Source organism: Homo sapiens, chromosome 14, assembly GCF_000001405.40.
Source record: "Homo sapiens chromosome 14, GRCh38.p14 Primary Assembly".
In the NCBI taxonomy this organism is placed as follows: domain Eukaryota; kingdom Metazoa; phylum Chordata; class Mammalia; order Primates; family Hominidae; genus Homo; species Homo sapiens.
Genome location: NC_000014.9, coordinates 79,333,930 through 79,355,452, shown reverse-complemented (window position 1 = coordinate 79,355,452; position 21,523 = coordinate 79,333,930). Strand labels below are relative to the sequence as shown.

Sequence of the window (21,523 nt, the reverse complement as noted above, 5' to 3'; positions counted from 1 at the left end):
GCGGAGCCGAGGAACAATTTTGAGCTTTATAATCCCTGCTCCTGAGTTTACTTTGTGTCTACTCTAACTAGGGTTACAATTAGGATCATAACTAGGCATAGGGTAACATGGCATGCAGTGGAAAAGAAGTGAATTGGGGGAGTTGGGAGATGTGAAGAAGAGTTGGAGGGACAGAGGAAGGAGGGAAGGAAGGGGGTGGGGGACAGAAAAGCCCAGGAATAGGAGGAGTAGCAGCATTTCATCTACCAATATGGCACAGCAGACTGATTCCTTATCATTAACTATTGATGACTTATTCATAATCAGTACTAAGACCAAACAAATCTAGATTAATATTTTCCTTTTTGCTAATAACCAAATCTTGTCACCCCCCTTTGGCAAATAATCTGATTTAAAATTTTAAGCAACATTGTTAAAAAACCATCCAAAAAATATGCATCTATGCTGACTGACCTAACTCCGCAAGTCGAATTATCATAAACCAACAACAATTATCTATACCTCGGACACGACCTATACTTGGGAAGCAAAAGCCAAATATCACCATTCATCTCTCACAATCCTCATATGTCAGCATCTACTTTAGTGTTATATACAGCTCTGGCACTTAGCAAAATGTTCTTTGGAGACACAACACAATTTGTTTTGTTACATTATTTCTAAACCAATAAGTGAGGGCATTTTGGAGTGATTTGAAAACAAAAATGAACTGGTGTTAAATTATAGATATCCTTCCGGTATTTTAACAACCCAGGTTTGCACTTTACCCTTTTCCACATACATTTTTAAATGGTAATAGGAATGATATTGTGAGAATGGCTACCATTTCTTGAATACCTTCTGTGTAACAAGCACTGGGAGACAAAGACAGGCACATCTGAATGTACATGCATACAGGCATGTGAAATGTGAGTGGAACAGGAGGTACTATTGCACAAAAGGCTGGATAAAGGATTAGAAAGAATCTTTGCTGTGGTCAAGTAACTCCTCAGGTTTCATGGACTAAAAATTCATGAAAATAGTCACCTAATTTTTTTAAAAAATGTTTATTTTTTGGTGATACATTTATAGTGTTTTGGAAAATTAACATTTTTACAGACACCAGTTGTCTAACTCTTTTTATTTACTGAATGCTGAGTATCATTGATACCATATTTTTAAAACGCAGTGTTTACTAGTGTATTTTAGGTTTCTGAAACACTCCATTTTATAGTTTGTTCCTTTGAAGAAACCTCATCACAAGTCATTTCACGCAAAGGGACTTCTATTATTTATGTTGCATCTCATTAAGGTTTTACTTCCATCTTTTAAATTTCCTCCTGAGATTAAACATTTGACTTTTATGAAGCCACTAAAAGAACAAGAATGTGTCACTTTCACTTAGGGTCGGAAAACATTATAATCTTGCAATTTAATCAGCCTGAGTGTTGACAAAAGATGTCGTAGCTGTTATAGAAACCAGCCCTACTGAAAGTTAGCATACTGAAAAGTCTTTGAAAACATGTCAGATTTGCCCATTGCCTTATCCGAGTTGATGACCAAATTTACTCCCTAATTATAAATGTGTGGTCCTCATACATGAGTAATAGAAGATTCTGAAAGGTAAATGAATCAAATAAAGGTCACTCTGAACAACAGTAATACAAGTGACTAAAGACGCCGGACCATAGGAAAAAATGGTGAGCAAAGTTGCTCATGATACCCAAGTGTCAATCACAAGAACTTCTAAGCGTTAAATGAGAAAATGTATGCAAAGCACCCAGCAATATGTCAGGCATATAGTAGTTGTCCAAGAATCAGTGGCTTTCATCATCATACTTATTAGTAACAGCAATATTTCATAGCCTGTTGGATAGAACACTGAGCCTCATGTTCTAAAACAGTTTAAAATATTACACTTCATTTTTTTCGTTTTTATTTATGATACATGATGCAGCTTCTTTAAAAACCTTGATTCCTAAAGTTCAAATGCAAAAGCAAACAAAGTTTACTGTACAGGACCATTGTGAAGATAGGAAAGGCAGGGTGACAGAAATGAAGGGGGAGAAAAGGAAGGCAAGAGGAAGCTCAGCATATATCTTCCCCTTAATACATACTCATTATATGTTCATTAAAAAGAAAAAGGAATATAATTTTCCATATTCAGAATAGTTTCCAGAAACATATAATTTGTGGACTTCCAATTATTTTAAGAACAGCCTATATCAAGAGTTGATCAAAAGTGCTTAACCTGCTAGGAATGTTCTTCCAAGAAAAAAAAATTATATTGAATGAATTTTCAGAAAGTGAGATTATTAGAATATATTATTTAAATTAGTATTGAAATATTTGATTCCAAATATTGCATAACATAGAGAAAAAATAGCTACTTTTACTTACTACTTACCAAAAAACAACATTGTTAAATGTTTTACATGCATCCTTTCAATTAACCTTTACAACAATCCTTTTAAGGTATGTCATGCTATCCCCACTTTAAGGTGACAAAACCAAGTTTAATAAGTGATGGTGTTGGAAGCTGAATAAACATTTTGATTTCAGAGGAAGTTTACAAGTTAAATACGTAGACTCTGAAATCAAATTGTCTGAATCCAAATTTTGAGCTTCTGAACTGGGGTAAATTGTTAACTGCACTCTCATCCTTAGTTACTTCATTTGTAAAATGGAAAAAAAGAGTAGGGTCCACTTCAAAGGATTGTTTTTACATCTATGCAGAGCACTTAGAAGAGTTCATGGATCAGAGTTAGCATCAGACATATCTTAGCTGTTATTATTATTGGTCTAGCTCTGAAATCTTGGCTTCTAACACCAATTAATTTTTATTCTGTTTTAAAACTTCTTTCCAGAAGACAAACATTCTTTGGCCATTGTATAACCAAGTAAAGGGAGTAGAATTCTTTTAACATGAGCTTCTCAAATCCATATAATGCCTCCACATACTATATAATGCTTCCACACACATTATCTCAATTGATCCGGATTCTGCTGACAGCTGTGCAACTATGAGAACCAGTAAGGCCTTGGTTCTGGAATCTCAAGTTCGAGATTCTATAAGCTTTATCCTAATAGAAGAAGATCCTAGGGTTTATTCTTCAGTTCTGTCTAACAGAACACAAAATAACTGGATGAAAGAACATAACATTTAGCTACACAACCAGATGTTTCAGTCAGTGTGAGGCCAAACATCTGGATGATTAGCCAGACGCTGCATTTTTTTTTTACCCTGACATTGGGCAATGTGTCAAATATGATTGATGTGAAACAGAAGAAAGGAAAGCATGCAGAAGGAGCTGTTAACAAGAGAAATACTTTGCTAAATAAAAGATGGCATGGACTTTGCTATCATCACCTGCTCCAGCAATTTATTTGCAACCAACATCAATAGCCCTACTGGGGAATGCAATCTTGCTTAACTTGTTCTACCATTTTGACACTTCTAACTCAGAAATGTAATTTAAAATAAAGATTCATGGAGCTAATATCCTTCTTGCTTCAGACTTTTAAAGCGCCTATTGTTCTCATAGCTTGGAGGGGGGTGAAAGTCTGCATGCATAAATGAACACATAGATGATATACTGTTTGATATAAATACTGCCCAGCTTTTAGTGAGACACCAATGCCTTTAGAATACAAAGTTAAAATATGCACTCTGCATGAAATGCTTTATGATTAAAAGAAGTCATGATGGGTGCTTTTACTATAACCTTAGATAAACTGTGATTTCTGCAGGGAGATGATAATAGAACTGATCACACCATCAGTTATCACGTTATTAAAGCTATAGCTAGTGAGCCCTTGCTCTGTTCCAGACATTTTGCTACTTGTGTATATAATATTAACACTGTGAGGTAGGTGCTCTTAATAGCCTCCTTTTGTAGATTAGGAAACTGAGGCTGATAGTTATTAAGTGACTTGCTCATTGTCATATCTACCGTGACTGTGTATTTCCAATTGGCAGCTTATAAAAAGGTTCAATAAAGGGCCAAGTATACACATATGTTGAAAAGGAGTTGCATTTAATGTGAAAGAATCATAGAATTTTGAATCTGGAAGAGATCTTTAGACAGTAGTTAACCCAATCCTGGCATTTATAGATGATAAAATGAAGACTCCTGCGGTCATGATTTGTCCAAGATTATACATTCCACCAGAAAAAGAATGAGAAATTCCCACCATGAGTATCATTTCTTTCTGCCAGCACATTATTTCATAAACATCCAGTTAAATGCAAATATCCTCTCTGGAAGGGATTTATTATAACCTTCGTTACATTATCAGAGATTAGTTGGTCAGACAGACCAGGCAAGAAGGATTTGACGGAGAAATCTGATACTTTGGAGGCTGCAGAGACCATTAGTTGAAAGTTTGAAAGTATCAGCTTTTCTGCCAGTTCTGGGTTGGAGTCCTGCCTCTAGCATATACTGCTATGTGTCTCTGGGGAAGTCATTTAACCGCTTCAAGCCTCAGTTTCTTCTTCTGTAAATTGAGGATTATAATAGCATTAATGTCAAAGTTGATATAAGCACAACATTTATAAAAAGTTTTGTGTAGCATATGGTGTCTTATAAGCAGTTAACACTCAATCTCATAACTGCTCCTGGAGAGGAAGGCCTAGAAGGAGTTCTGGGTTGCAGTAGGACTGCATAAAAGGCCTGAAATGGCTTGGAGGATTATGGATTCAGAGAAAGGTGCCACTGACCTAACCATGTAGCTCAGAGATGGCCCCGATTTTAAACTCTAATACCTTACTCCTTATCAATACTTAATCGGCTTCATATCCATAGGAATCAAGAAAATGGGCTTTTGATTGTCATCACTAAAAAAAACCTATGAAAACAAAACACACACCCTTTCCTCCAATGTGTGCCAAAGGCTGATTTGTTCTATGCCACACACACTCCCGAACAGAGGGATGCAGAAGAGAGAGTTTATGGACTTCAATATAAAATGATAAGCCTGATAAATCACCTTTGGTCCAAGTGTAAGCTAGTCCAGGATAAATCTCTATGATGCATTCACATTGTCATTTGATAATTCCAACACCAGAGTCCCACAGTAGAGTAGACACTACATGACTCAATTCTCTACAAATTTTAGTTCCTCACCCTTGGCTTACTTAACATTCAGAATCAGGCTTAACAAAGTCTGTGCCTTGTTCTTGTTAATACAATGAAAGTATGAAAGTTGGGTTCCTTTATTAAAGATACATATGGAAATCAATTCTCTCAATCAGAGCATACTTGAATGTTTGATTATAAAATGCTTTGATAGTACCCAGCTTAGGCTCTGAATTTCTTTGGATTCCACATTCTGACGTTCCATGAAAATAGTTAATGCAACTCTTATAGATTATAGTATTCCAGTGTTTGGGGAAGCTTTCATATAATATGTTTAATTTTAATATGAAATGCTAGTCATAAATTATGGGCTGTATTAGTTTGCTAGTGATGCTGTAACAAACTACCACAAATGCTATGGTTTAAACAACAGAAACTTATTGCCACCCAGTTCTAGAGGCCAGAAGTCCAAAATCAAGGTGTTGGCAAAATTGGTTCCTTCTAAGAGCTGCTCTAGGCCTCTCTCCTTGGTTTGCCTATGGCATCTTCTCCCTGTGTCTCTTTGCATAATCTTCTTTCTATGTATGTCTGTATCAAAATTTCCTCTTATAAGGACACTAGTCCTATCAGATTAGGGCCCACACTGATGACTTGATGTTAACTTGATTACCTCTGTTAAGACTGTTTCCAAACAGGTAACAGAGGTTAGGACTTCAACATACTATATACAATTTTTGAGGTACTAGAGGTTTTAAGGTTTTTAGGTACTAGAGGTTAGGACATCAACATATTATGTATAATATTGTCTGTGTGTGTGTGTGTGTGTGTGTGTGTGTGTGTGTGTGTGTGTATTTTTTTTTCCCGGGGAGGACGGAGGTGAGATACACAATTCAACCCATAACATGGGCTTTCAGAATAAAAAACCTAGAGGTATTTGCTCTCCTTTCTTTTTACTTTTCTTTCTCTTCTTTTTTTCTCCTTAATGTCTAGTTCGTTTTCTGGAAATGGGTTCATTTCCTCCTGCTTTCTGCTTACACAGGTACTCCCCTCTATGGTGGTCACTAAAATTCTATCAATAATTAAATAGATTTTTTTTAAAGATTCCGGAGACCTTACAAAAGTAAGGTCTCTGTAAAATTTCTGTAAAATTTGAATTTTTTAGCATGTCCACTTGGACATGGACACCTCTAGTTTGCTGGAGAACTTGTAGCGTAGGAATTGAAATCTGGCACAAACTAACTGCTGAAGAGGATGTATATTTAGAAAAGTTCTATGTGTACTATGCACTAGGAAATCCATAAAGCAATTTACTCCTTTCACTTTCATGGCAATCCATGCTAATTTAGGTAATGATAATTAATGATTTGCCACATCAAACAGTAGAAATAAATCCATAAAAAGTGACTTTATTGATCAACCATTTTCAATTAAATTAAAGGCAGCATTAAGCAACTCCATCAAGGGAGTTATAAAAGAACATTCTCTCCTAAGGTTCTATGATAAAGGAGTGGAGAAATCGCCCTATGAAATGTGATGGACTACGTAGTGGAGCTAGGTGCAAAAATCTGCAGTAATTGATCATGCAGAAGTTTAAGCAATTCTATATACTTCTTGGTACAAACCCAAAAGTTACAATCACTTCCCAGTGATAACACTAATCCCAGCTCATTTCCATATTGTGGCGACTGCCCTACTCTAAGTGACAAATTAAGAAGATTAGGCCGGGCGCGGTGGCTTACGCCTGTAATCCCAGCACTTTGGGAGGCCGAGGTGGGCGGATCACGAGGTCAGGAGATCCAGACCATCCTGGCTAACACAGTGAAACCCTGTCTCTACTAAAAAATACAAAAAAATTAGCCAGGAGTGGTGGCGGGCGCCTGTAGTCCCAGCTACTCAGGAGGCTGAGGCAGGAAAATGGCGTGAACCCGGGAGGCGGAGCTTGCAGTGGGCAGAGATCGCGCCACTGCACTCCAGCCTGGGCGACAGAGCGAGACTCTGTCTCAAAAAAAAAAAAAAAGAGAGAAGATTAACTATAAAACTAACTACCAAAAAATTTATCTAATTTTTAAAATTTCAGCTCTCTGTTACCTACTCTATATCTAAATTAAAGTAAAATACCTGTCTGTGCTTTAACTGGTAATAAAACATTAGGGAGAAAAGGCCTACTTACATCATATAGTTGAATAAGCGTCAACTAAATAATTAAAAATCCAAGACTGCATTTTCTCATGGATGGGTAATTTCAATATACTGGAAAAAAACTTGTGGCTCTGTTAACAATGATGGAAATACTGCGGTAAATACCCTCTTGGCAGGATGCTGGCATTTGAAGGATTAATGGAAAAAGGAAGCACAAAGGTTATGTAAAGCTTAAAAAGCCATGAAAGAAGAAAAATCTAATTAGAAAATTATATATAAGGGTTTAATTCAAATTATATGCCTAGAAATGAGTTAGGACTTGAGTGAGAAAAATGTCATCGTCACTTCGCTCTCAAAAGTGATTTGCGAACAGTCTTAACTTAGGAGAAAAGGGCCAAGAATGCTTTCCACATATTTCTAAAACTTTTAGAGGTAGATGTCATATTTTTAGTGTGTATGAGTTCATCACCTTTTCCTATCAGCATTTCTGTGTCAATACCAAGACGGTTTCACCTGCTACTGAAAAGGGAAATGTTGGCCAGGTGCGGTGGCTCACGCCTGTAATCCCAGCACTTTGGGAGGCCAAGGCATGTGGATCACAAGGTCAGGAGATCCAGACCATCCTGGATAACATGATGAAACCCCATCTCTACTAAAAATACAAAAAATTAGCCAGGGGTGGTGGCACGTGCCTATAGTCCCAGCTACTCAGGAGGCTGAAGCAGGAGAATCGCTTGAACCCAGGAGGCGGAGGTAGTAGTGAGCCGAGATCACGCCACTGCACTCCAGCCTGGGTGACAGAGCGAGACTCTGTTTCAAAAAAAAAAAAAGGAAAACGTTGCCTCATTCTAAAAATCATTTCAGATAATTACTGAAAACTCTATGAAAGTGGCACTGAATAATCACTTTATCAGGCAGTTTAATGAGATCTTTCTGAAACTAGATCAAGTTAATACTTTGTCAAGACATTAAGTATTATTTCTAGTTTTTATTTAATTTTTAAAAATTTCTCCAAATTAAAAAAAAACCTTCTCTCAGAAAATTAAAGAAAAATAATTACAGAGAGTTTGAGTTATTTTTTAATTTCAAAGAAATTTATTCTGTATTTTCTTATCAGAATACAGATAAGGGTGGGGGGACAAGCATGGCCACGCTCCCCTTGCCTCTCAGAGCCCATTCAAATATTATTTAACCTCAAGAGTTTTGCTCCAACTCACGTAATGCCTCAAAATGTTCACCAAATAATCAAAGCCTGAATGTTTTTACATTTATCTAAAATCTTGTGGCATTTTCAGTGTATTAATTTGGTGCCATCTTCTGTTATTGAGAGCCTACGAGGTGCTATTTTAAGACATTGAGCCTGGGGTGATAAACAAGACAGAAACACAGACCTCATGAACTTGAAGTTGGGGAAGACATAGTATCCATGTAAATAAGTTAACAAATAAGATCTTTTTGGATGGGGCAATCAAGCTAAATCTCTTCACTGAGGCGAGATGTAAGTGAACCCTGGATAACGAGGAGTGATACACCTAAGCATACAGGAAAAACACATTTCACACAGAAACAATGGCAAGTTCCAAGACATCTTCAAAGAACAGGAAAGTTAATGTGATCAGAGGGTAGTGACCTTAGGGGCAGAGGGGTAGCACACAAGATCTGAGATTTTAGCAGTGATCATGTAAAGATTTCCAGGCAGTAAGAAAGAGTTAGGATTTTTAAGTGCACTGGGACATCAATGAATGGTCTTTTTTTTGGCAAGATCATTTTATGATGTGCTCATATCTTGTCTTATCTCACCTTATCTTATCTTACCTTGCCTTATCTTATTTTTTGAGACAGAGTTTCACTCTTGTTACCCAGGCTGGAGTGCAACAGCATGATCTCTGCTCACTGCAACCTCCACCTCCCGCGTTCAGGTGATTCTCCTGCCTCAGCCTCCTGAGTAGCTGGGATTACAGGTGCCACCACCACATCCAGCTAATTTTTTTGTATTTTTAGCAGAGATGGGGTTTCACTATGTTGGTCAGGCTGACCTGGGACTCCTGACCTCAGGTAATCCACCCTCCTCTGCCTCTCAAAGTGCTGGGATTATAGGCGTGAGCCACTGTGCCCAGCCGCTGTGTTTTACATTCTAAATAATAACTCTGGTTGCCATAGGTAGGATAAACCAGTACAAGGAAAAAAACTGAAGCAAGAAGATCATTTAGGGGAATATAGTTGTGGTTTAGGTGAGAAACGATGGTGGCCTAATGTAGGTTGATAGAGGCAGAATCAGAGACCTGAGATTTATTTTGGAGGCCAAGCAGACATATCTTGTGTGTTCGGCCATTTTTGTGGTGCCATAAAGAAATACTTGAGGTTGGATAATTTATAAAGAAAATAGGTTTAACTGATTCATGGATCTGCAGGACGTACAGGAAGCATGTGCCAACATTTGCTCAGCTTCTGGTGAGGCCTTAGAAAACTTTCAATCATGGCAGAAGGTAAAGGGGGGTATCATAAGGTGACAGCAGGAACAAAGAAAGCAAAGGAGGGAGGTGCCACACACTTTTAAACAACCAAGTCTCATGTGGACTCAGAGGGAGAATTCACTTATTACCAAAGGGAGGGTGCTAAACCATTCATGAGAGACTTGCTCCCATGACCCAATCACCTCCTGCCAGGCTGCATCGCCAACACTGGGGATTCTATTTCAACATGAGATTTGGAGAGGACAAGTACCCAAACTATATCATCCTGCTAAGACATGGCATTGTGAATCTAATTCTTATTAGTCTGGCTTTTCTCAAAACCTCATCATAAACACCCCGAGGACAGGAGCTGTGTCAGAGGTTTCTGGTGACCCCACATTACACAGTCTGGTGCTGAGGACAGAATCGGTGTAATATCAATTTCCCTTACCCACCTAAAGCAAGTAATTTAACCCATGGCTGCTCCCTTAATGTCAAAGTGATGATAAATCTTATATGGCTTTTGTATCTGAATTTCTTCTCTAAAAATATTTGAAACACGAAAGGGTGTTCAATCTCTACCAAGCCAAAACTACACTAGTTTGCTTTAAATGCTCAGTGCCACAGAGACCACAAGGCAAATATTTTGAGTAATTTTCTGGGTAGTTGGAACGTGCAAATACCCAAAAAAAGAATTTAATAAAACAAACAAAAAATGCAGTTAAACTGGAGATGTTTTCTTGTTCTTCGTGAATAGAGGACATATGTTAGAAAGAATTACAAGAGCATATTGGATGAAGCCCGTGAGAATCTGCTTCTTACAGTTGATATTCAGAATAAGATATAATCACATAGTTCACTCCTTTTATAACATAAAGAGTCCATGATATTTCCCTCTGAGCCATAAAAATCTTAGCACAGATTGAATTCTGGAACTTAGGTGACTTACATATTCTGTAAGAGTTTCTTTCACCATTTTGCCAAAGATTCTCCTGATATACTTTGTGTTACAAAGAGTTATATTGTCAACTTTTTAGTAAGAGGAATATTTCAGTTTCAAAAGAGAAATTTTCCAGATGCATTTCACATTAATTTTTTTTGAGTCATAGCTTATTTTTTAAATCTGAATCTGTTTCTTATTTTTACACATCTAAAAACATGATACATTTAGGAATAAAAAAGTCAATGTATAATTGTTTTAATTAGTTTCAGATCTATAACCATGGCATAAAATTTAATGTAATGAATAAATGTAAAAGAAAAAGATATTTTAATCTATTATGTTAGTTCTTTCATGTAAACCATTTTGGCAGTATCTTTAATCGATTAAGGGAATTTAATAGTGTTTGAAAAGTTCTACATTTCCTATGTGACAACAGACTCAAATGGTTTGGTAACACATTAAAGCACATTGAGCATATTAAATATATGGATCTTATTAACCAAACAGAGAGGCAGAGGCTAATTGGAGAGAGAAAGAGTCTGCCTCTTCTTCCTCTCACTCACCTCCTAGCACCAGCTGGGTGGATACCATAAACTAGACTCCTACATGGTCAGATGAGCCCTGGAAGGATCTGGAGTTGGCAGACCAGTAGCACAACCCCACCTATTTCACTTAAAACTTTTGACTTCAGGGCTTGCCTCAGTAGAATATAGATAATAATACATTCCTCTTGGAGTCTTCAAAGTCCTGAGAGAGAAGTGTCAAACAGAGCTGGCATTCTGAGAAAACTGGTAAACATTTTTTTACCTCTCTTCCCAGAATTTTATTCCACTGACTTCCATTTAGAAACTGCCCTGGCTCCAGGGATAGAGCACATGCACTAACTAAATCAGCTATCCCTCTGGCAAAAGTGATTTTTTCAGGCAGGGCATGGTGGCTCACACCTGTAATCCCAGCACTTTGGGAGGCCGAGGCAGGAGGATTGCTTGAGCCTAGGAGTTCGAGATCAGCCTGGGTAAGAGAGCAAGACAACATCTCCTCAAAAAAGGGAAAAAGGATTCTTTCCTCCAGACTGTGCAGGTAAACTATATCAACCCAACTTCAGTGAATTTGAAGGAAATATTTGAAATATTTTCCTGAGATTGAAAGTATTTTCCTGAGATTGATGGGACAAAAATTATTTCTCTCCAACTCAAATTGAAAGGGAAAGCAGTTGGCCCCAGAGTTGTTGGCCAACATTTGAGAGGTACACAAGGATCTAGCCTTGGTAGGTCATCTTCTGGCAGATGCAGGAAAGGCACAGGAAATAAAGAGAAAGAAAAAAATGCTCTAGGTGACACCTTTGTACCCTGTATCAAGTCTCATGAAGAGCGAGCCAGGCTGTTCTTTTCAGTTATAAAACCGCCTTTCCAAAATTATGACTGAGACAGTGAAAGAGATTAACTTAACTGACTCCATCTTGCTTCTAACCTCCAAGCTGTCCTTGTTCATTCCTGGGGGTAGACTGAACTAACTTTGGGAGAAACTTAGTTTATACTTTATAGCTTACAGTTTAAAACAAAGACGATAAAAGCCCTTTCCCAAAGCAGACCTCCTTCTTGCCTGGAGACTAGATCGCCTCTGTAGGACAAACATTAGCCACAAGATGAGCAATTATGGTTTAGGAGTCATGCAGCTGGAGGCTACAAGACTGTGATGCTCCCTAAACTGCTCCTAAGATCAGTACTTGAGATATTTTGCAGACCTTGCACAGGATGGATCGGCTGACACCACCCAAACTGGTAATCTGGTCCAACCAGTTCTGCCACCACACCCAGGAACAGCAGACATTAAGAAAACCTCACCTCGACCCCCTATGATTCCATTGCCAACCTGACCAATCCCCACTTCCCAAGCCCCTACCCGCCAAATTATCTTGAAAAACTCTGATCCCCAAATGCTCAGGGAAACTGATTTGAGTAATAGTAAAACTCCGGTCTCCTGCATAGCCGGCTCTGCATGAATTTCCCTTTCCCCATTGCAATTCCCCTGTCTTGATAAATCGGTTCTATCTAGGCAGCAGACAAGGTGAACCCATTGGGCGGTTACAGTTACATGTCAGTGACTTGGTTTTATTGGTTGGAGCAATTTGAGCCAGATTTGCTGTTTCTAGCACTCCAAAGCATCCTAACTAATACAGTTACAGAAATCTAGGGGATAACGCAGCTGAGTAGGACAGAACTCCAAAGGGTTCCCCTGGGAAAATAAATAGAAATTCTCCAATTCAGCAGACTTAAAATTTTATATCCCAAGGTGCCTTGAAAAATCTGATACAAACAATAAGTAGGTCCTCTTCTTGGGAAGCCAAAGGAAAAAAAAAAAAAGTAGTAGTACTTGGGCACACACATAAAAATTTTGCTATGATGTCAGAGAGAATCACAGTGTCTCTAAAGTCCTTAAATGTAATAGCACTTGTCATAAAGTAAAATAATGTATTTGGTTCAGAAGAATAGCCAGACTCTAATATCAGGAGAGCAAGTCTGGGGACAACCCTGTGTTGCTGGTTGTTGGCAGGACATCTATACCTGTCTGCATCTTAGAGACTATTTCAACCCAGCATCAACAGTCTGACCTTTGCTCTCAAACTGCTTCCTCTAATCTCTCTGCACCATAGAATAAACAAGAGTCTCATCAACTAATTCCTTAAAAACTGTCACAAAGTGTGTTGGGGGATGACACTGCTCCCCACCCACAACCCTCACCAATACCTCCACTCCCAGCTCTGCCACAGATTTGGTTACTGGAACAGAGGCAAAGATTTCCACTTAGCTTAAGTGAGAGTATGCATTAGGTCTAGACAAAATTCTTTTGATTCTAGCTTTTAAACCAGGGTTCCAAACAATGGGGAGCCTCGTATGCTAACGTCAAATTTCTATTACCATTGTATTTACAAACCTCATATTTTAATTTTGATCTTAACTCTGACTTGCAATTGATCACGGCATTGCCCTTTTTGCTTTGTTTTGTTTTTAACCTTTGGGGTCTTACTTGGATCTGCCACATAGATTGAGGACATTTAATCAGACTTCCTTTTTTTTGAGGCAAACTATAAAGCATATCTTTCATAATACAGTGAATAACTGACCTCACACTTACATGTTCCTTTAAACCTACAACTATTAGAATGGTTTATAACCAATTATTATACCCTCTGTTCTGGTGACCACTGACCTGATTCTCTGAATTTGGAGTTCACATGGTTTTAGATCTTGGCTCAGTTTAAGTTCCCTCTCTGAAAGGAATGTTTCTTAAAGCAGAGCTCCTGAAACTTTAAGCTGCCTGTGAGTCTCCCCCACAGCCTCCGGAGATCTTGTTAAACTGCTGATTCTCTTTCAGTGGGTCTGAAGTGGGGCCTGAGACTCTGCATTTCTAACAAGCTGGTAGGTGCTGCTACTGCTGCTGGTTTTGTGGATCGCACTTTGAGTGGCAAGTGCTTATAGGATTTGCAGCGAAAGGTCTTACAGTTTGCCTCTCCCACACACCTACCCTCATTACCATGGACCAACAGGAGATACTCATTAAGAACTTGGTGACTTGCTGTTACAGTTGAAGGAGATTACCCTGGGTAGTAACTAAGCAGTGAAGAGCTCCACCGCCCTACCTGTAAATGTTAAAAATGTAGTTATAGTGCAAGGTGTGCATCATAATGACTGGTCCTAAGAGGCCTATTTGTATGGGAGCCAGCAATTTCAGAAAAGAGCCCCTCCAAGCTGAATAACACTCAGGATCCAAAAACCCCTCAATCATCTGTACAGAGACCTACATTGAGACCCAGAAGAAAATGCTCCCATTAACCCTTTTAATTTGCATTAGCGCAATTCTCATTTTAATTTATTTTCTCTGCAGCCATTATACCTCATTTTTACATAACATGACTCTGAAATGTTCTGAGCTTTGAGAATATAAAATACTAAAAGAAAGAGGCTTATTTCTCAACTGATGAGGGCATTGAGAGAGATAAGATATCGTCCAACTGCCAAAATACTAGAATCCTCTCTGGCTACAGAAAAGGAAAAATTATCACTAAGGGCTGTACTTTAAAAAATTAAACAATGTCAGGCCAGGCGCGGTGGCTTACGCCTGTAATCCCAGCACTTTGGGAGGCCGAGGTGGGCGGATCACCTGAGGTCGAGAATTCGAGACCAGCCTGACAAACATGGAGAAACCTGTCTCTGCTAAAAATACAAAATTAGCCGGGCGTGGTGGTGCATGCCTGTAATCCCAGCTACTCAGGAGGCTGAGGCAGGAGAATCCCTTGAACCTGGAAGGTGGAGGTTGTGGTGAGCTGATATCGCACCATTGCACTCCAGCCTGGGCAATAAGAGGAAAACTCTGTCTCAAAACATACATACATACATACGTAAATAAAAAGTCAAATATCCAATTTTATTAGCACCTTTCAATGTTCTCAAAACACTTTATTAACTGGCATAACCTTCATCTTCATAATATATCAGTGAGGTTAGGGCTGACTAACCAGTGTTGTCAAATATTACAAATCGAATTTTATCTTTGAAAGCCTATGTCATATTTTATTATTAGAGAAGAAAGAAAACCCTAGGTTTTCCCTCACACTCCTCCTCCAACGAAATGTCTATCTGTATCTCTTTCTCTCTCTCTCTCACACACATACACACACACACACACACACACACACACACCCTTAAATTCAGAGGTCAAACGAGGGGGCTGTGACTTGGCAAACTCAAACCATTATATATCTCTACAGCTGTCACTCATACACAAAATAATATAGTGAGGACAATCTAATGCCATACTGTGAAAATAGCTTCTCTCAAAACAGGACATAGGAAAACACTTCAGAGAGAATTTCAAATACCTTCTTCAAACAGCTGTTTCTAATGGTTTCACAGGACAGGTTTCACATAAAAAGAAATGAAGACATAATTTAACAACACTACTAATTGTATGCATTTTACCTACATTATCACATTTAATCTTCACAACTTTTCAAGTATGATCATCCCAATTTCTCAGATGAAATTGGGAATTAAAAAGAAGAAAAATGACAACACCCCCAAAATCACAGGGCTAGAAAATGGCAGTAGGTGAGACTTGAATCCAGGGCTGACTGTCTCAGATTCTCAACTCTCCAAAGACCTTGGCTATAATCACTAGATCAGTGTTCCTCAAACTTTAATATGCAAACAAGTCACTTCAGGGAGTTGATGAAAATACAATTCTAATTCATTACATCTGAAGTGGGACCTGATAATTTGCATTTCCAACAAGGTCTCAGGTGATGCTAATGCAGGTGGTCCAGGGAGCATACTTTGAATAGTAAGACACGAAAATATGCACTTTGAAGGTGTTTCTCTAAGTGTGGTTCCTTGGCTAGCAGCATCAGCAACACCTGGAAGGTTGTTAGAAATGAAAATTCTCAGGCTCCACCTGACACCTACTTTGGAGTAAGGTTTTAGGAATCTGTTTCTTAACAAGCCCTCCTGGGGATTCTGATGTACATTCAAGTTGAGAGTCATTGGTTAATGTCCAGCATTTCTACAAACAATCCAACTCTATACAGCTTAGAATGATTTTGTCTCGTTTTCCTAGGTCACACTTTACAATGTATTTAAATGAAACGTTTAGGTGAAAATAACCACATCTTTGGCTATAAAGTAATCTGGCCAGAGAAAAGCTGTTACTGTGAAGGTAACCTTGCTCCATTGCACTGCAGCAACACTTCATCATAGGCTGTTGGTGTGTGATCCCAGAGAGAGGTCAGTGGGTGGGGAGGGAGGGACTGACACTCATCTCATTAATTTCTCCCCTTCAAAAGGGGTAGGATTTATTTTTCCAAATGGGTCGCCCTACAGAATGCCCAACTTTTCTTCTCTATTCTGTTGCGCTTTGCAAAACAAATACTTAGTCTCACATTTTCATTCTGAACAGTGACTCCGAAATAAGAATTTTCCCTTAATTTGAGAAGAAACATGTCAAATAATTAACAAACAAACACAAAAATAGTTATCTTAGATCTCCAGCTGGGATGAGTGGTAAAATTCAGAGGGAAGTTTTAGTCCTTGGAAGTCTTAGATACTTGAAAATGAAAGATTTAAATATGATTCATCTAAATAACAAAACAATCTTCAACCACATTTCTAATAATATGTGATAAATTAATTTTGCACTCAACTATGTGCTTTACCTGAATTATCTCATTTAATCCATACAGCAATTCTGCAAAGCAAGCACTACTTTATTCCCATTTTAAAGGTTATCTAATGGGCTGACAGTGGATACATAAATTGTCCAAAGTCACATGGGTAGTAAAAGTCAGAGCTGAGATTTCATTCCAGACCTGTGGGATTCTAAAGCCTGAGCTCTCGATACACATGATCCTATCTCTACTAAGTACACTGGAGGGAACGCAGTGGTAAAATCGAAGTTCAAAAATATAAATCATATATGTTATATTATTCTTGAAAACCCTGAAGGCTGCCGTAACTACCCAAAGTAACCCTCTCCACGAAGTAACCATCCTAGGTGGAACTAGGATTTCCCTTTCCCATGATGGCTGCTGTTCTGTCCTAACACTTACTCTTCCTTCACACACACACACACACACACACACACACACACTCACATACACACACACACACACCCCGGCTGCCTGGGCTCATGGGAGAACTTGGTAAATTCACCCTACTGATTCCTCAAAGTCTCCCAACTCCCATATGTGAAGTTCAGTAATAGAGTGATGTCACCGCCAATCATTGTTACAATCCTCACAGCTGGGTAAAAGGACTTCCATGGAGAACCAAGGAAGTAATCTTCTGTACTTTACATTCCCCAGCATAGACAGGACAGGACAGAGTCTTAGGAGTCCTGTAAATAAAAACAAAGCCACAGGCTGTTTGGTGAAGCAATCAGAAGGGAGGAGAAATTTAAGAGGAAGTAGTTTGAGTGTCGGGGAGTTTGCAAAATTTATTTAAAGACACATAACAAACCAGTAATACGGTATGAAAAACCTGACCTCAAGAGCCTACATTTCTCTACAACAGTATTACAGGAGATCCATTCTTTAGGACAGTGCTTGGTCCTCTAGTGATTCCTGGGCATCCTAAGATTTAGTGTTAATGCATTTATCATGTGAGGAATTGGCAGCCAGAAATGTCAATATTGCACCAGATTCCAAAGAGATTGGCTACGTAAAACTTTAAGGAAAAAACAAAATCATTTCCTCTTTTATATGTCCAGGCACAAACATCATTCCATTATAACACATGAAATTTTGGAAATAAGACTTATTCTTTTCTCTTTACCATCACGATGGAAGACCAACTGAAACAGATTATACTGCATGGAAGAAAGCAATATATCGCCATCCTTTTCCTGAAGTCATCATTAGATATACCAGCTCCTGCATCTGTGAGGGATTGCCATTTGGAGCTGGTTAGCTGTGAGTCTACATTCACTTGAAACATCTGATTGGTTCAAACAACTTTAATGATTCTAACAAAGATGAAGACATTAAACATTGAGCTCATTATTAGTCAGAACTCTGCCATGTTCCCTGCTGTATAATTAACTCCTTTCATTCAACACATTTAAAATAGCATCAATAAGGAATATTTAATTACCTCCCTCCAGAAGAAGGTCCCGACTCAGATTCAGTAGCCAGTTTCACATGAAGTTCAACTTAAATTGTTCTTAAAATAATGTTTCTGCTAACTATAGGGAACAGTTAAGTCCAGGAAATTTAAATCTAGGGAATAGAAATATACGACAGAATTGGACGAAAAACATCTTGTCGGTCATTTTTCAAGAAATAGGTGAAGCGTTTTTAACGGCAGCATATTTTCCCAAGGAGTTTAAAGTATGTGGCCAAGGTCATAAGAAAGAAACATAACTATAGAGATGAGAGAAAGTGTTATGTGAACATTTATACTCAGGGTGTATTTTATCAATAGTAAAATATGTAAGATGTTGGGTTCTACACAAGCCTGACCTTGGGGTTGTTCATAATCCAGCTACCAGAAAGTAAGAATGTGTGGATGGAAACCACAAAGATGCCAACTGAGATAGTGCTTCAATTATGCCTTAGGAGTTGAAAGAGTCATAGCACAGGTGATTCAATTAGGGGGCCTTGCTTCCAATGTATGCAGCACCCGCTTTTTATAACATAACACATGTTTATTATTGTGGCCTTCGGGAAATCATTACTGAAACCTAAATATCCAAAAAGAAAGGACAGCCAGCCCAAATTAACTTCAGATACTGACAGGCCATGCCATTTGTTTGCCATTCTGACTGCAAGGACATTTGATGATCACTTACTCAAAAGAGCAAAGTCATTTACAACTCTTCCTTCTCCTTGTCGTCACCATCACTGACACCAGATCTGTAAAGAGCTCCAACTGTGGACACCAAAGTATGCTTGATATTATAGAGGACAATTGTTTTGGGCCACTCAGTGCCCGGTTTTCTTTTGGGAAATTACATCTCCTTCCCATTGTTCACAGAGGTGTAGGATTGTCAAAAGGTGATTTTTTTTTCTGCTTCTCTTAGGGGTAAGCACATGACCCAATACCTTGGAGGCTTCAGCAGGCTGTTGTAAGAATGGGGGGAAATAATTGGAGTTTATGCATTCTAGCAGCTGCAGCCTAAAATAGCTATTAATTAGTCCCTGTTACTTAGACCTCCCAAGATTCTCTGATTGTTTTTGGAAACCTCTTCCTTTAGTCTTTGCTTTGATTCTGTAAGCTACCCCAAAGACTTTTAATACATTCCTGACCAACTTGAGGTAGTCTAAGCCTATAGTATCTGTTGCTTGCAACCAAACTGTCTGAATTGATGCAGATGTGGAGCATATAAGTAGGTGCATATTATGATATTTGCCCTAAAAAAGCAAATGGCCCACTTGAGTAGAAATAATGCATGCACAAAAGGGATAAATGGCATTATAACGTAGTTAATGCTAAGTGACAGATAAATGGGACCAGAGTTGAGGGATGAAAGTCGTGAATGTAGGCAGAATAGAAGGGGGTTCTAGACATGGTAGGACTGCACTTAACTAAATGCAGAAGAGCAGCTGGGGTTATATAAAAGAAACTTGAAAATAATAAAAGTAGAGCCAAAAAGTGATATGTATATATGTGCAATATATGTACATACATACAAACAATGATATATATATAGTATATATCATTGTATAAGCCCTTAACACTCTATTCCCATGAATTACAATTCCTTTACCCTTCAGATGTGGAAAAATATATGTATATTTTGTATAATTCTAGGACAGCTTTCTCACTTTCTCTTAATAAAAAGAGTAAAAGGAGTACAGAATATAGCATAAACTTTCTCTGTTAATAGAGGGGTGTGAACACGCAGAAATATAATAGGGAGAAAAAATACAACAAGCATAAATTCAGGATTTTCTGTTGTACCTACTCTGAAGAAGAAAATAAATAAAATAGTATCAGGACTGTCATACTATTTTCCTCCAAAAATTACTTCCTATAATGGGAGAGGAAAAAAGCAAAGTAAAATAGTCTCCCAGTGCAAGCACAGCTACTTGCACACACACACACAAATACACACATCCCACCATGCCAACAAATCTCCTTTCTTTACAATAAAAAATCTTTATACTGTAACATAAGAGCACATCCCTGTAGCTGCCTGCAATCAACATTTTGAAGAAGAAACAGCACAGTTCTTTACAGCAATTAGGAGAGCAGAGCCTGTGTGTCACTGCTGAGCTTTTTGCCTCCTACCTAGTGAAGGACAGGAAAGGGAGTCACTGAGGCAACATGGAGGCTGGGTAACCTCCACACCCAATAATTGTCTGCCAGGCAAGGCTGGGAATATTTATTTGGCTCTAGGGCCTCACAACCTTATCTCCAGTCTAATGTTTAATAAACAGATGCAAAATAAGACCAATCCTCCTTCAATATTTTATATGAGCTTATAAAAAATTAAGAATGTTATTGTATGTATCAATTTTAAAATAAGTAATGATTCATTATCAGGTCCAAGTCACAGCTCACAACTCTACTGATTTATGAAGCAAACACTTAAGAAGGCCGAGGACATCATAATAATGTAGCACGCTTGCCACTACCACACTAATATATCTTTTGCCTAGATTCCTGCAGCAGCCTCCTCGGTGGCTCCAGTCTTCTACTTTGCCTCTTTATGGTATAATTGGCACCCAGCCGCCAAGATGATTTTAAAATATAAATTAAATTATATTAAATTCAAAGCCCATTTGTTCACCTACAAGGCCATACACAATATGCTCCTGGTTATCTCTTTGACCTCACTTTACCCCCTGTCCTGCCCTGCGGGCTCACTGTCTTCTAGCCATCAGCCTCCCACTGTTTCTCCAATAAGCCAAGTGCATTCCTGTTTCAGGGTGATTATACCTGCTATTTCCTCAGCATGGAATGCTCTTCTTGGATATCCTTACATCTTGTTGCTTTGCCTCATTCAGGCACTTATTTCAATGTCACTGCCACAAAGAAACCTTCTCCACCCAAAATAGCATGCCCTAGCACACTCTCCATTCCCTCATTCTACTTTATTTTTTTATAGCACCTCATTCTACTTTATTTTTTTCATAGCACCATTGAAGAGTATATATTTATTTCCAGATTGGTTTAATATCAGTATACCTGACTAGAATGCCATTCCATAAAGGCAAGAAGTTTATATTGTTTTTAGCCCCATCCCCTGGGCCTCACACAGTGCCTAGGACATAGTAGGCATTCAGTAAGTACCTGTGAATGAACGAATGATTGCACTACTTTACAATAGCATGCTGCTTTCAATTTCACATTATTTTATTTTCAGTGGGGACCTAGAACTACACTGGAAGTGCAGCTTCTCAGGGCTCAAGATCGGCACACAGCAGTATTCATATT

The 21,523-nt window shown here is 38.4% G+C and overlaps 1 protein-coding gene across 56 annotated transcripts in view, besides 1 other annotated feature; it reads right to left on the bottom strand.

Annotated features, from left to right (window-relative positions):
* Positions 1–21,523, bottom strand: part of NRXN3 (neurexin 3) — a 1,697,919-nt gene that overhangs the window by 512,839 nt on the left and 1,163,557 nt on the right. The gene's annotated exons all lie outside the window — the stretch shown is intronic.
* Positions 20,761–21,283: an enhancer, noted in NCBI's record as "OCT4-NANOG hESC enhancer chr14:79800513-79801035 (GRCh37/hg19 assembly coordinates)". NCBI's record gives its function as "activates a minimal SCP1, AML or CMV promoter by ChIP-STARR-seq in naive H9 embryonic stem cells {active_cell/tissue: H9 hESC(naive)}" and the evidence as "EXISTENCE:reporter gene assay evidence [ECO:0000049][PMID:30033119]".